Source organism: Homo sapiens, chromosome 12, assembly GCF_000001405.40.
Source record: "Homo sapiens chromosome 12, GRCh38.p14 Primary Assembly".
Taxonomy (NCBI): Eukaryota; Metazoa; Chordata; class Mammalia; order Primates; family Hominidae; genus Homo; species Homo sapiens.
The window spans coordinates 751,253-764,614 of NC_000012.12; the positions used below are offsets into that span (position 1 = coordinate 751,253).

General features: G+C 44.6%; 1 protein-coding gene across 50 annotated transcripts in view, besides 8 other annotated features; it reads left to right on the top strand.

Moving 5' to 3' along the window:
• Positions 383-482: an enhancer, noted in NCBI's record as "active region_5789". NCBI's record gives its function as "activates an Ori minimal core promoter by ATAC-STARR-seq in GM12878 lymphoblastoid cells {active_cell/tissue: GM12878}" and the evidence as "EXISTENCE:reporter gene assay evidence [ECO:0000049][PMID:35858748]".
• Positions 533-582: an enhancer, noted in NCBI's record as "active region_5790". NCBI's record gives its function as "activates an Ori minimal core promoter by ATAC-STARR-seq in GM12878 lymphoblastoid cells {active_cell/tissue: GM12878}" and the evidence as "EXISTENCE:reporter gene assay evidence [ECO:0000049][PMID:35858748]".
• Positions 1,223-1,372: a silencer, noted in NCBI's record as "silent region_4106". NCBI's record gives its function as "represses an Ori minimal core promoter by ATAC-STARR-seq in GM12878 lymphoblastoid cells {active_cell/tissue: GM12878}" and the evidence as "EXISTENCE:reporter gene assay evidence [ECO:0000049][PMID:35858748]".
• Positions 1,223-2,777: a biological region, named in NCBI's record as "H3K27ac hESC enhancers GRCh37_chr12:861758-862476 and GRCh37_chr12:862477-863195".
• Positions 1,327-13,362, top strand: part of WNK1 (WNK lysine deficient protein kinase 1) — a 158,874-nt gene continuing 146,838 nt past the window's right edge. For all 50 annotated transcript variants that reach the window (NM_213655.5, XM_011520997.4, XM_011521000.3 and 47 more), the window contains exon 1: positions 1,327-3,072. In NM_213655.5, coding sequence (NP_998820.3) covers positions 2,314-3,072 — 759 coding nt within the window. In that variant the 5' untranslated portion in view covers positions 1,327-2,313. The remainder of the gene's footprint in view (positions 3,073-13,362) is intronic.
• Positions 1,340-2,058: an enhancer, noted in NCBI's record as "H3K27ac hESC enhancer chr12:861758-862476 (GRCh37/hg19 assembly coordinates)". NCBI's record gives its function as "activates a minimal SCP1, AML or CMV promoter by ChIP-STARR-seq in primed H9 embryonic stem cells {active_cell/tissue: H9 hESC(primed)}" and the evidence as "EXISTENCE:reporter gene assay evidence [ECO:0000049][PMID:30033119]".
• Positions 1,453-1,832: a silencer, noted in NCBI's record as "silent region_4107". NCBI's record gives its function as "represses an Ori minimal core promoter by ATAC-STARR-seq in GM12878 lymphoblastoid cells {active_cell/tissue: GM12878}" and the evidence as "EXISTENCE:reporter gene assay evidence [ECO:0000049][PMID:35858748]".
• Positions 1,843-2,222: a silencer, noted in NCBI's record as "silent region_4108". NCBI's record gives its function as "represses an Ori minimal core promoter by ATAC-STARR-seq in GM12878 lymphoblastoid cells {active_cell/tissue: GM12878}" and the evidence as "EXISTENCE:reporter gene assay evidence [ECO:0000049][PMID:35858748]".
• Positions 2,059-2,777: an enhancer, noted in NCBI's record as "H3K27ac hESC enhancer chr12:862477-863195 (GRCh37/hg19 assembly coordinates)". NCBI's record gives its function as "activates a minimal SCP1, AML or CMV promoter by ChIP-STARR-seq in primed H9 embryonic stem cells {active_cell/tissue: H9 hESC(primed)}" and the evidence as "EXISTENCE:reporter gene assay evidence [ECO:0000049][PMID:30033119]".

Sequence of the window (13,362 nt, forward strand, 5' to 3'; positions counted from 1 at the left end):
GGCCCCGACGCGCGCTTTCGAGCTTGTTCCGCAGCGGGCGCTGAAGAGAGGCGGCCGCGTCCGGACGCTCTGATGCGGTTGCGTACGTTTTCAGCGCTTCCCGCTCTCCACCGGTTGGACTGAGGCTTTTAAACTGCAGTCTGCTCCCGAGTCCGGCTTCCTACTCGGTCTGGTGCCCCCTGGTGCTCGTCCCCTCCACATCTTGAGTAGTTGCGAAGAGCACAGGGGTCCAGGCAGACAAGGATGCTTTCAAGAAAAACATTCCATGGCGGCAAGCCGCATGGATCCACATTTCCCGGGCCCAGAGCCTTTGTAGACATTGCATGTGGACATTCAGGAGCTCTAGAGAAAGAGGGGGTGTTGTTTCACGAAGCCACCAGCAGAAGAAAGGTGGAAAATAAGTTTCAACCAACTACAAAGGCAGAAGTCAGCCCAGCCCCCCAAGTGTGGTCAAAGACCCATAGATCCGTAGACCTTATCTTTTCTTGAATCCACCGCTCCCCCAACCCCCCTTTTATTATTTTTCAGACAAAGCAAAGATAGAGTTCACTAGGATCCCCGATTTCAGTAAGGCAGCCCTTTTTTGAGAGCCAGAATATCCGTCTCGGCCGGGAGCTGAGAATGTGGCCTTAATTGATGAGGGGAGGAGGATGGAAGGTAATCCTCCGTGTCTCCTCCTCCAATCCGTTTAATCAATATTAATTTCATGCACAATCTTCACAAAGTTTCTTTTCCCCTCCTCCGACTCAGAGCTCAGGCTCCGGTTATCCTGCTTTGCCCTTCCCTTCCACCCTCACAGCCCTGCAGTCACTCAACACTACTGAGGCTCTCTCCATTAAAGATGAACAACAGATCATTTTTCATTGCATGGCAACCCTAAGAGCTCTCTAGCTTAGCAGAGCATGATGGGAGTCTTTCCATCCCCCCCCCCACCCCCCGCCCGCTCGTTCCTCTTCTTTTTTTTTTTTTTTTCCTTCCTTTCCTTCTTCCACAATTAATCCCTAAATAATGATTTTCCTAAGCTCGCGCGGACTTCGGGATGGGGTTGAGCGACCCGTGATGACGCTCCCATCAGCCTTTCAGAAGGGACGGTTTCCAAAGAAAACTACAACTCCCACGAGGCATTAGGCTACAGCAACCGCAAGGCATCACGGAAGTCGTAGGCACTTTTCTTCTAGGTCCCGTTCATCCCCGCCAACCCGTAAACTATAAGTCCCAGGGTGCCTCGGGGCTAGCACGCCTGCGCAAAAGCCCCGGAGCGAGTTGGGGGGTGGGGCTGCTCCGGGCGGCGGGGGGCGGGATCCGAGCGGGCTGTGTGGAGGCTTCAGACTCCCGGCGCCATTTAGCGCGGAGAGTTTCCCGGGTGGACGCGGCTCCTCTCTCGGCCACTCCGCACCCCCATCTTCGGTGACAGAAGGCGCCTGGTGGGGGTGGCTGCTCTTTTCTCTCCCTGTTCCCCCTCACCCAGTCCTCTAGGTCTCCTCTCCTCTTGCCTCAGAGAAGCAGCGGAGCTCGGGCCCCGCGGTGAGCGGCCCTCCCCTCCCCGCCGTTCCCTCCTCCGTCAGCCCCCGGCACCGGCCCGGGAGGAGACGGGTTTGCCAGGCCTGGGGCGGGCGGGGAGGCCTCGGGGAAGGGGGGGCCCGCTCCTCAGGCGCCGAGGCTCCGAGGCTCCGGCCCTTCGCCTCTGGGCGATGGGCGACCTGTGAGGCCGGTCCCCATCGCTGGGGGCGCGTGTGGGAGGAGGCGGCCGCCCGAGTGACCGGGAGCCGGGCCGCGGCCTTCCCTCGCCCGCCTCGGCCCCTCCCACTCCTCTGCCCCGGGGCCGCCACCGCCCGGGCGTCGGACCTGGTCCCGTGCTCGCGGTGCCGCCGCCCTCTGGGCCTAGCCCGCCCAGCTCGGCGAGCGGCGGCAGTGGGAGCCGCGTCCGCCGCATCCGCCTCGACTCGGTGCCGGCCCCTGGCCCTCCCCTCATGACTGCGGCGCCTCTGCTGCCACCGCCCGCCCGGCCGCCGCTCGCCGCAGGATGGATGCGGACCGTGCGGCGCTAACCCCCGTGGCTCAGCTCCCGAATCGCCCGCCTTCGAGCCCTCCTCGTGAGCCGCAGCAGCCTCGGTGCCAGCCCCCGCCGCAGCTGGGCCCAGCGGTCCGCCTGTCCCTCGTTGCGGCTTGTCGGTGCTGAGTGAGGCGTCGTCCGGGTCGGCGCGAACCCGCCCGGCCGCGGTTCCCTGCAGACCTCTGCGCGGGCGGCTCGGCCCTTCACGCCCTTTTCGTTCACGAATCCGAGCCCGCTCGCCTCTCTCCAGCGAACCGACCATGTCTGGCGGCGCCGCAGAGAAGCAGAGCAGCACTCCCGGTTCCCTGTTCCTCTCGCCGCCGGCTCCTGCCCCCAAGAATGGCTCCAGCTCCGATTCCTCCGTGGGGGAGAAACTGGGAGCCGCGGCCGCCGACGCTGTGACCGGCAGGACCGAGGAGTACAGGCGCCGCCGCCACACTATGGACAAGGACAGCCGTGGGGCGGCCGCGACCACTACCACCACTGAGCACCGCTTCTTCCGCCGGAGCGTCATCTGTGACTCCAATGCCACTGCACTGGAGCTTCCCGGCCTTCCTCTTTCCCTGCCCCAGCCCAGCATCCCCGCGGCTGTCCCGCAGAGTGCTCCACCGGAGCCCCACCGGGAAGAGACCGTGACCGCCACCGCCACTTCCCAGGTAGCCCAGCAGCCTCCAGCCGCTGCCGCCCCTGGGGAACAGGCCGTCGCGGGCCCTGCCCCCTCGACTGTCCCCAGCAGTACCAGCAAAGACCGCCCAGTGTCCCAGCCTAGCCTTGTGGGGAGCAAAGAGGAGCCGCCGCCGGCGAGAAGTGGCAGCGGCGGCGGCAGCGCCAAGGAGCCACAGGAGGAACGGAGCCAGCAGCAGGATGATATCGAAGAGCTGGAGACCAAGGCCGTGGGAATGTCTAACGATGGCCGCTTTCTCAAGTTTGACATCGAAATCGGCAGAGGCTCCTTTAAGACGGTCTACAAAGGTCTGGACACTGAAACCACCGTGGAAGTCGCCTGGTGTGAACTGCAGGTAAAGCCCCACCTACTTTATTTGACGGTCCTTTGGATCCCAAATTTGGCTCGGCGAAGCCAGTTGATCGAGTTCACCCTTCACTTGGCATTCTCTGTTGGACTCCGAGTGGGACGGGGAGGCCAACTTTTGAAAGGGGCTGAAATTAGGAGAATGTGGAGCATGTGCCTAGGTGTTGGGATAGGATAAGAATTATTGGTAGCCAGAGGGATTTGCTACCGGGCAGCGGTGGTGAAGGTCATCTTAGTACAAACGAATTGTCTCCTGGTTTAGAGTCTGGCAGGAAACTTGGAATGAGTGGGGAAGTTGAAAGTACAGATGCTTCTTCTTCTGTGCATTTCAATCTCATCAAAGGCTCTGCAGTGATGAGCTGCGTCTGGGTGTAGAAGCGTGTTTTCATTCCTGAGATCAGGCTGTTCTTTTTAAATGAGAACAACCTTGTACCTTTGGATGTATTTTGCTTGATGGTTGCACAGGCATTTAGTATAAAATAATTATTAAAAAAAGACTCTTCTCTGCCCCTTTTGGATGTTTGATGTTGTTCTACCTAATGATGCTTAAGCCTTACAGTAGCAGCATTGCTCTGACGTTCATTAAACTAATGTCTTTCAGCCCATTCACTATACAGCGAATAGTATAGGAGCCCATGCAAAATTGTGTAAGTGCTTTGAGAGTCGTAATGTCATCATCATTGTTTTAATCTTATAAAATATCTTTAAGCTGAACTTTCCCAAGAGTCCGAAGGAGTCGCAGCACTTCCTTTTTTAACCTCTAGTGGTGTAAATAATGGTGTGTCATTCCGGTTGACTAGTACATTCTAGGTTTAAACAGCTGAGTTTGGGCTACTTGTTGCTTGACTTACTGAAGCAGCTTGCTTAAATATTGCCCTGATTGGGCATAGGTGAACATAGGTTATTAGTAGGAGCAGGTTTATGCTGAAGGAAGTCAGCCACATTATGCATGCATAAAAATTGCCATTATTGATATAGTAATCTTGCCAAGAATATAGACCAGCCTGATACAGGATATGAAAATAACTGAATGATCTTGGAACTTATTTTATCCATGAACTAATATGTTAACACGTAACCCTTTGAATGTCAGGTTCCAAATAACTAAGGCCATATCAAATGTGAAATTAACACAGCATGTGGAAGTAAACTTAAAAACTAAGAAGTTCTTTACAAACATAATCATTTCTTAACTTTTACAGTTAATGATGTAGAACTTCTAAGGTAGTGTGAAATTAAAACTACTCATTAATTTTATAGTATTTTAGAATTGAAAAGGTGACAGATCTTTAAAAAAAAAAAACCTCGTCAAACGAAAACTGTTCATTTTGGTCAGTCATATTCAAAAAACTTAGTCTGGGCCAGGCACGGTGGCTCACGCCTGTAATCCCAGCACTTTGGGAGGCCAAGGCGGGTGGATCACGGGGTTAGGAGTTCGAGACCAGCCTGACCAACATGGGGAAACCCCGACTCTACTAAAAATACAAAAATTAGCCGGGTATGGTGGCGCGCGCCTGTAATTCCAACTACTCGGGAGGCTGAGGCAGGAGAATATCTTGAACCCAGCAGGTGGAGGTTGCAGTGAGCGGAGATCGCACCATCGCACTGCAGCGTGGTGACAGAGCGAGACTCCGTCTCAAAAACAAACAAAAACAACAACAACAAAAAAACTTATGTCCGATTCCTTTTGGTTTACAGGCAGAAATTTACAGGTAGACACATTTCTTTCTTGTACTATCGATGCTTATTGATACTGATGCTGGAATTTTATTCTTCCATTATAGTTTTATATTTGAATAGGTGCTTTTTAACAATTTTGTTTTCCTTAACCGGTTACCTTACTTTTTTAAGACTGGACCCAATTACTTGTTGAGCACTTTATGAATTAATTTTGTTAGTTTTAATTATTTCACTTCTGAGACTTCTTAGCATGTGATGTGTGTTTTCCTTTTATCACCTGGAATTTTCTGATACTTTATTATCTTGGAACTGATAATACAGTGAAAAAAACTTAATTTGTCTAATGTCACGATAAAAACTTTGTCCAAGCTTCTCAGGTTTTCTTAGAACTCGTAACTTTTTGGATTTTTAATTCTCTATCTAGGCATGGGCATTACCAAACTAAAGAAAATCTTACATCGCATATTATTTTTGAGTCATTTCAGGATTTGGCTGCAGAACTAGATGAATCCTAGCTTATTAAGTGGTACCTGGTTTAGAAACTTCCATGTTATTTGTCTGTGCTTCTGTAATTTTTTGTTTTGATTTTGAAAAGATTATCTTACCTGAAAAATCCTTTATAGCAGTAGTTAGGCAGTATTTTTGGTTTTTTGACCAGGACACTTGCACTACATGCCTAATAAAATATTCAGTGGGTCAGTGTTTGAACTTTTATCTTTGGAGCCAAATTAAAGGACAAGCCAAGGGATTACTAAAGCACTGGAAAGATAGAAACTTTTTCGCTAAATCTATCCTTTTAATATACATATATTTCTGAAGCAAGACAGGAGAATATTGAGTTAAGTTGTTGAGTTAAAAATCTTAGTGTATTGAAACTGGGAGAAATCTTAGGTTATTCTGCCCAGCTATTTATTTGACAAATAAGGAACCTGAAATCATAGAGCAGGTAAATAACTTGATTAGGTAGATGAAGAACAAAAGCTAGTTAGGATCTAATAATTTGGGAGATGACAAAGCATTTGTAGTCCAGTAGATGGCTAATAAGTCATTTCAAATGAAGCAATATTGTGTTGGTGTGGAAGTGGCTGTTGGATTTCTGGAGAAACCCGGTCCTTATACCCATGGCAAATTTCAGGCTTCTGTTTTGGGTGTTGATTTTTATCACTTCAAATTGAGATATAAATAGGCTTTTGTGGATGGGTCAATATGGTATACAAATCAAGCTATTTTCTGTCATGCTAATTTTTTTAGAGTCATGCTATGCATTGCTCTTTAGTAAAACAAGCATCAATTCTTTTTTTTTTTTTTTTTTTTTTTTAAAAAAAAAAAGAGACGGAGTCTTGCTCTATCTCCAGGCTAGAGTGCAGTGGCGCAATCTGAGCTCACTGCAACCTCCGCCTCCTGGGTTCAAGCGATTCTCCTGCCTCAGCCTCCCAAGTAGCTGGGAGTACAGGCGCACCCCACCACACCCAGCTAATTACAAGCATCAATTCTTAGTAAATAATGCCTAGGTAATATTTTGATACCACAGGACCTTCAGTAATTACCGAGATGTTTAAGATGCAGATTTCTTTAACTGGTTTTATTAGACAAGTAGTGCACCTTAATTTTAATATTTGGTTGTCTTGGTCAGAAAATATTACTGTTGGGCTCTATCTGCAGAGTTTACATTGCTTTTCTAGAAAGGGATCTGGTTTTTCAAAAAAGATAGCATAATTTCCTTTAAGAAAACATTGATGGAGCCGGGTGCGGTGGCTCACGCCTGTAATCCCAGCACTTTGGGAGGCCGAGGCGGGTGGATCACGCGGTCAGGAGTTCGAGAACAGCCTGGCCAACATGGCGAAACCCCATCTCTACTAAAAATACAAAAATTAGCTGGGCGTGGTCCGCACGCCTGTAATCCCAGCTACTCGAGAGGCTGAGGCAGGAGAATTGTTTGAACCCGGGAGGCAGAGGTTGCAGTGAGTCGAGATCGCACCACTGCACTCCAGCCTGGGTGACAGGGTGAGACTCTGTCTCTAAAAAAAAAAAAAAAAAAAGAAAGAAAGAAAAAGAAAACATTGATGCACAGATTTAAGAATGATTTATTTTAAGCACCTTCCCAAGTTGCCTCTGAAGAGTTCACATGATGCGTTATATGTTGATGAGATTGTTTCCACATCTACCTGAAAAGAGAGGTTAAATCATATTTTTGTTGAAGCTCCAATATACTTAACTGCTTATTTTTCTCTGTCTTTTATTAAGACTGTGTGTCATGAGTACATGACATTAATATTTTGTGAATAGTATAGCAGTGTTACAGAAATGGGATGTGGTTCTGTGATTAAGAAACCATCATTTATTTCTTTGCTATAGTTCTTTTTTTTTTTTTTTTTTTTTTTTTGAGACGGAGTCTCGCTCTGTCGCCCAGGCCGGACTGCGGACTGCAGTGGCGCAATCTCGGCTCACTGCAAGCTCCACTTCCTGGGTTCACGCCATTCTCCTGCCTCAGCCTCCCGAGTAGCTGGGACTACAGGCGCCCGCCACCGTGCCCGGCTAATTTTTTGTATTTTTAGTAGAGACGGGGTTTCACCTTGTTAGCCAGGATGGTCTGCTATAGTTCTTAAAATATCTAATTGAACTGAATCTCTCTATTTGAATGTTGGTGATTTTTTCCCTCTTATCTTTTAAATTTGTGCCACATTCCTTATTTTTTAGGATGAGAATCAGCGTAACTTTCCGTCTCAGGGAATAGTTTTTGGAGTTTGTTCTTAAATCCTCAAAGTCACCGATTAGGAGTATTGGCAAATTTTTTTCTCTTACCTTTTTTCTGACCCGTAGTAACACAGTCTGAGAAGTAATCTAAAAACCTGGAAAGAGGTTGTTTTTGTGTAAAACAAACCAGGAATCTATTGTTGCTTTGTGACAATTCATTTCTTGACATTCAAATTCTGATGCAAGAGCCTAGTCATTTAAAATTTATCTTATTCCACCAGCAGCTTATCAAAGAATTTCAAAAAATAAAAAATATATGTATATAAATATAAATAAAATTCATCTTAGTTCATCCCTATGGAAACATTCAACTAAAACTGGGCTCTCATTTTCAGAAATCATCCTAAACCTGTTATTTGGGTTTTCTGGTAGTTTTTACATTTTTTTAGATAAAGCTGTAAAAGCAGCAAGAGTAGCTGTACTCAATTATCATTTCTGAAAATATTTAGCATACTATGAAATAATTCATAATTACCGTTAGTACACCTTTGCTATACCAGTTCTTTAAATTATATTGATAATTTAAATTATATATTTAGTAACTTGCATTTTGTTTGAGTTTTTTGTTTTTTTGTTTTTGAGACAGAGTCTCACTCTGTCGCCCAGGCTGGAGTACAGTGGCGCGATCTCGGCTCACTGCAACCTCCACCTCCCGGGTTCCAGCAATGCTCCTGCCTCAGCCCCCTGAGTAGCTGGGATTACAGGCGAGCGCCACCACGCCCGGCTAATTTTTGTATTTTTAGTAGAGATGGGGTTTCACCATGTTGGCCAGGCTGGTCTTGAACACCTGACCTCGTGATCTGCCCGCCTTGGCCTCCCAAAGTCCTGGGATTACAGGCTTGAGCCACCATGCTCAGCCGTTTTGTTTTGTTTTAAAACCTGGTCTGCAGGAATAGGTGAGACTTAGCATGACCTCAGTTTATGTTTGAAGAGGCCATTTTTCTGCCTTGTAACATAGTAGTTAAGAACTAGATTGCCTGGGCTCAAATCAAGGCTCAGCTACATAATTGTGTCACCTTGAGCAAGTTTTGTGCTACAGTTTCCTGTCTGTAAAATGGGTGTAAAAAAGAGTACCCATTTTATAGAGTTGTGCTGATTAAATGAATGAACATATATAAAACATGTAGGATAGGGCCTGCCACATAAATATTAACTGTGATGATGCAGCATCTTTTTTAGGTTGTCCTTTTGAGGGAATCTGTGAAGATTTTGTTTGTTTATATTTATGCTTGAAAAATCATATAGCAAAACTTAACTACTGTTCTTGGAGGAGGAGGAAAGCAGGTATTGATCTTTATGTTACTGGTGCTTTTAAATTCCTTAGCTCTACCTGGCCTTTGCCTAACATTTTAATTTTGTGACCCATCACCCAAATGCCAATCTTTCTGAACTGCTTATTTTCAGAATCTGCTAAGATCCTTGTCTCATCTTTGCATGTATCTAGAAAGCATATTTTCTTTTGGTGGATCTCATATATAATTCTTATAGTATTTATTTATCATATTGAAATTGTTTATATATTTTGTCTAATCCATTAGTCTTTGGAAAGTTCACTATGGTGTAATAGAATACTATACAATGAAAAGGAGCACCAAGGCAGAACCCTTGAGTTCTAGATTACCCAATTTTCTGAGCTTTGAGTAAGGAACTTAATCTATAATGCTCATTTATTAGCAATATGTCTTACTGATTTAGGATTGTTGAAGATCCACTGAAATACTATGTGAATGTACTTTGAAAAATGTTAAGTGTTATATAAAATATAACAGAATACTTAAATATTCATTTAGAAGGCTATAAATTGTCACCTATTACAAATGGAATATATTAAACTTAGTTGGATTTTAGGAGCTTTTTGCTTTGTCAACTTAATTTCTCAAATCTTAACAGGGGAGCTTTTCAGTTTGAAGAAACATTGTCAGAAGCTCTTAATATTTTATTTGGAAGATGATTATGCCTTTGACAGGTAGCAGGCTTAATTTTATATGTAGTTTTTTTTTTATTGTTGTTGTTTTTGATGGGGTCTTGCTCTGTCGCCCAGGCTGGAGTGCAGTGGCGTGATCTTGGGATCTTGGCTCACTGAAACCTCCACCTCCTGTGTTCAAGCGATTCTCCTGCCTCAGCCTCCAGAGTAGCTGGGATTACAGGCACCCACAACCACACCCGGCTAATTTTTTTTTTTTTTTTGTATTTTTAATAGAGACAGAGTTTCACCGTGTTGGACAGGCTGGTCTCAAACTCCTGACCTCAGGTGATCCACCTGCCTTGGCCTCTTAAAGTGCTGGGATTACAGGCATGAGCCGCCGTTCCTGGTCTATATGTAGTTTTTAAAAGATTGGTTATTTGTGATTTTTACATAAGAGGAAAAGCATCAGTAAGCTGTGGTTTTGTGGCCAACTTAATTGATCATATAATATCTCCACCTTCACTTACATTAATTTAGATTTTTCAGGTGGGGTTTCATAAATAATTTACTTTTTAGTGTTGTGACTTGAATCTTGGCTTTGCCAAATTACCATATTAAATACATTATGCTAAATGAATATGTTGGAATGATTTTTTAGAAGAGTCCTCAGATAAGCTGTTAGTCATAACAAGCAAATAATTTTCTCAGGAATGTAAGAATTCTTAAGAATTTTAACAGTTTGAATTTAAGAGTGTTTGGAAATTTGCTTGTTGTAATCATCATACTCAGGTTAGTTAAGAAAAACCACAGTCATTCCTGCAGATACCTTTTGTGCAGCTGAGGTTCAGCTTCTCAGAGACAATATTATTTTTGTCAGTAGATACGTGGTAGATGGTCTAGTTAACCAAACACACACTAATGTATAAACCAAACAGTGAGAGATGAAATTAATTAGTGAATCAAATGATTAATGTGCACATTCTCTGTTACTAGATAGAGATTAACAGATTTCTTGGGATAAGATCATTTTCATGGCTAAGAGTTTTGAGCTACATAACCTGATATATCTATCTTTATGTGGATCATCTCCTTCCATGGACTGGTAGATTATTGTGGATTAAGGTAAATCGGGAAATGCAACAGATTTATCTCTTTAACATGCTAAAGAGTTACTAGATATCATTGTCATATTAAAATGTTCTTTGAACTCTCCATATTGCCCCTCTCACACACAGTCATCCGTCAGTATACACAGGAGATTGGTTCCAGACAGCCCCCACCCCAGGGTACCAAAATTCACAAATGCACAAGTCTCTTAAATAAAATGGTGTATTTTCATATAACCTACAGTAGTACATCCTCCTGTATAGTTTATTTTTTAATTTAATTTTTTTTTTTTTTTGAGGCTGAGTCTTGCTCTGTTGCCCAGGCTGGAGTACAGTGGCACAATCTCAGCTCACTGCTACCTCTGCCTCCTGGGTTCAAGCGATTGTCATGCCTCAGCCTCCCGAGTAGCTGGGATTACAGGCACATGCTACCATGCCCAACTAATTTTTGTATTTTTAGTAGAGATGGGGTTTCATCACGTTGGCCAGGCTGGTCTCGAACTCCTGACCTCAAGTGATCCATCTGCCTCTGCCTCCCAAAACGCTGGGATTACAGGTGTGGCTCCTCACGTATAGTTTAAGTCATCACTAAATTACTTATAATACCTAATACAATGTAAGTGCTATGTAAATAGTTTTTATACTGTAGTGTTTTAAAATTCATGTTGTTTTTTATTATTGTGTTTTGTTATTGTTTTTTCCCCCAATATTTTCATCTGCAGTTAGTTGAATCCATGGATGCAGAACATGTGGATATGGAACCTGAGGATGTGGAGGGCGGACTGTTCTTATGTGTAGAAAGTAGAGAGTAACTGAAGAGTTGAGTTTTAAACAGAGAAGTTAATTGGTTAGATTTGCATAGCAGTAATTGCCCAAAAATAGATTAAAGGCATACAGGGGGAAGTGTAGAGATTCCAGTAGTCCCCACTCTTCTTCTTAGGGGATAATGGTTATTTTTTTCTCCTGCTTTTCATTTTTTTTTTGAGACAGAGTTTCACTCTTGTTGCCCAGCTGGAGTGCAATGGCGCGATCTCGGCTCACCACAACATTTGCCTCCTGAGTTCAAGGGATTCTCCTGCCTCAGCCTCCCGAGTAGCTGGGATTACAGGAAGGCGCCACCATGCCCAGCTAATTTTGTATTTTTAGTAGAGGTGGGGTTTCTCCATGTTGGTCAGGCTGGTCTCCAACTCCCGACCTCAGGCGATCCGCCAGCCTCGGCCTCCCAAAGTGCTGGAATTACAGGTGTGAGCCACCACTCCTGGTCCGTATTTTTATCTTTTGGTTCTGTTTACTTTGAGGTTTGCAAGACCTCCCGTGGATACCTGAAGCTACAGACACTACTGAACCCTATGCATACTTTGCTTTTTCCATCCCATAACCCATTAGACTAAGTGACTAAAGGACGAGATGGGTGGGTGGCATTAACAGTGTGAATATGCTGAACAAAGGGATGACATGTCCCATTCGAGATTTCATCACACTAGTCAGAATGGCACACAATTTAAAAGTCGTGAATTGTTGGCTAGGCGTGGTGGCTCACGCTTGTAATCCCAACACTTTGGGAGGCCGAGGTTAGTGGATAACCTGAGGTCAGAAGTTGGAGACCAGCCTAGTCAACATGGTGAAACCCTGTCTCTACTAAAAATACAAAAAAAAAACTAGCCGGGTGTGGTGGTGCATGCCTGTAATCCCAGCTACTTGGGAGGTTGAGGCAGGAGAATCACTTGAACCCGGGAGGTGGAGGTTGCAGTGAGCCAAGATTGCGCCATTGCACTCCAGCCTGGGCGACAAGAGGGAAACTCTGTCTCAAAAAAAAAAGAAAAAGTTATGAATTGTTTATTTCTGGAATTTTCCATTTAATATTTTTGGACAGTGGGAAGTGAAGCCTCAAGTAAGGGAGGGCTACTCTAGTTAGGATATGAGTGTGAGATTTTTAGGACCTAAACTAGGGAGATAATAGAAGGAATAGAACATTTAGATATTTAGGAGATAAAATATTTAGGGTTTAGTGGATAATTTAGTGATTAATTGGTGTTTGGAGGAAAAATGAAGCATGGATAAGAGGTTAGGGGATGATAGTGCTGTCAACTGAGAGAGAAAAATCAAAGGTTTTTTTTAAGTTTTAAGGTTTTTTGTTTTTTAGATGGGAGGAGGTATGGAGATGTATTCAATTGGACATGTTGAGTTTGAGATTCTTATGTAATCTCCAGTAAGAAGTTCAATAGGCAGTTGGATATATTACTAAAACTTGAAGACTAGGTCTGAGATGAAGATAAAAGCTGATGATTCCCAAAAATGTCTATATTAGTTGTAGCTGAAATAATGGAAGTAAATGAGATACGCTAGGGAGAGGATATGAAGAGATAGAAAAATTAGAGAGAGGGAGAGGGAAGAGTAATGGTCCTCAGGCAAAATAGTAACAATTACCAAGGGAATAAAATTTCAAGAAAATAATACATCAGAGAAGTTCTATTTTCATAGTAGTAATTGTGGAGAATGAATTTAACAAGTAGTAAAGAAATGTAGTAGTTAGGCTGTTGAAATTGTTGCACTTGGCTATTAACAAATCATTAACACAGCACGGTGGCTCACGCCTGTAATCCCAGCACTTTGGGAGGCTGAAGTGGGCGGATCACCTGAGGTCAGGAGTTAGAGACCAGCCTGACCAACATGGAGAAACCCCGTCTCTACTAAAAATACAAAAATTAGCTGGGCCTGGTGGCACATGCCTATATTCCCAACTACTCGGCAGGCTGAGGCAGAAGAATCGCTTGAACCGGGGAGGTGGAGGTTGTGGTGAGCCGAGATCACAGCATTGCACTCCAGCCTGGGC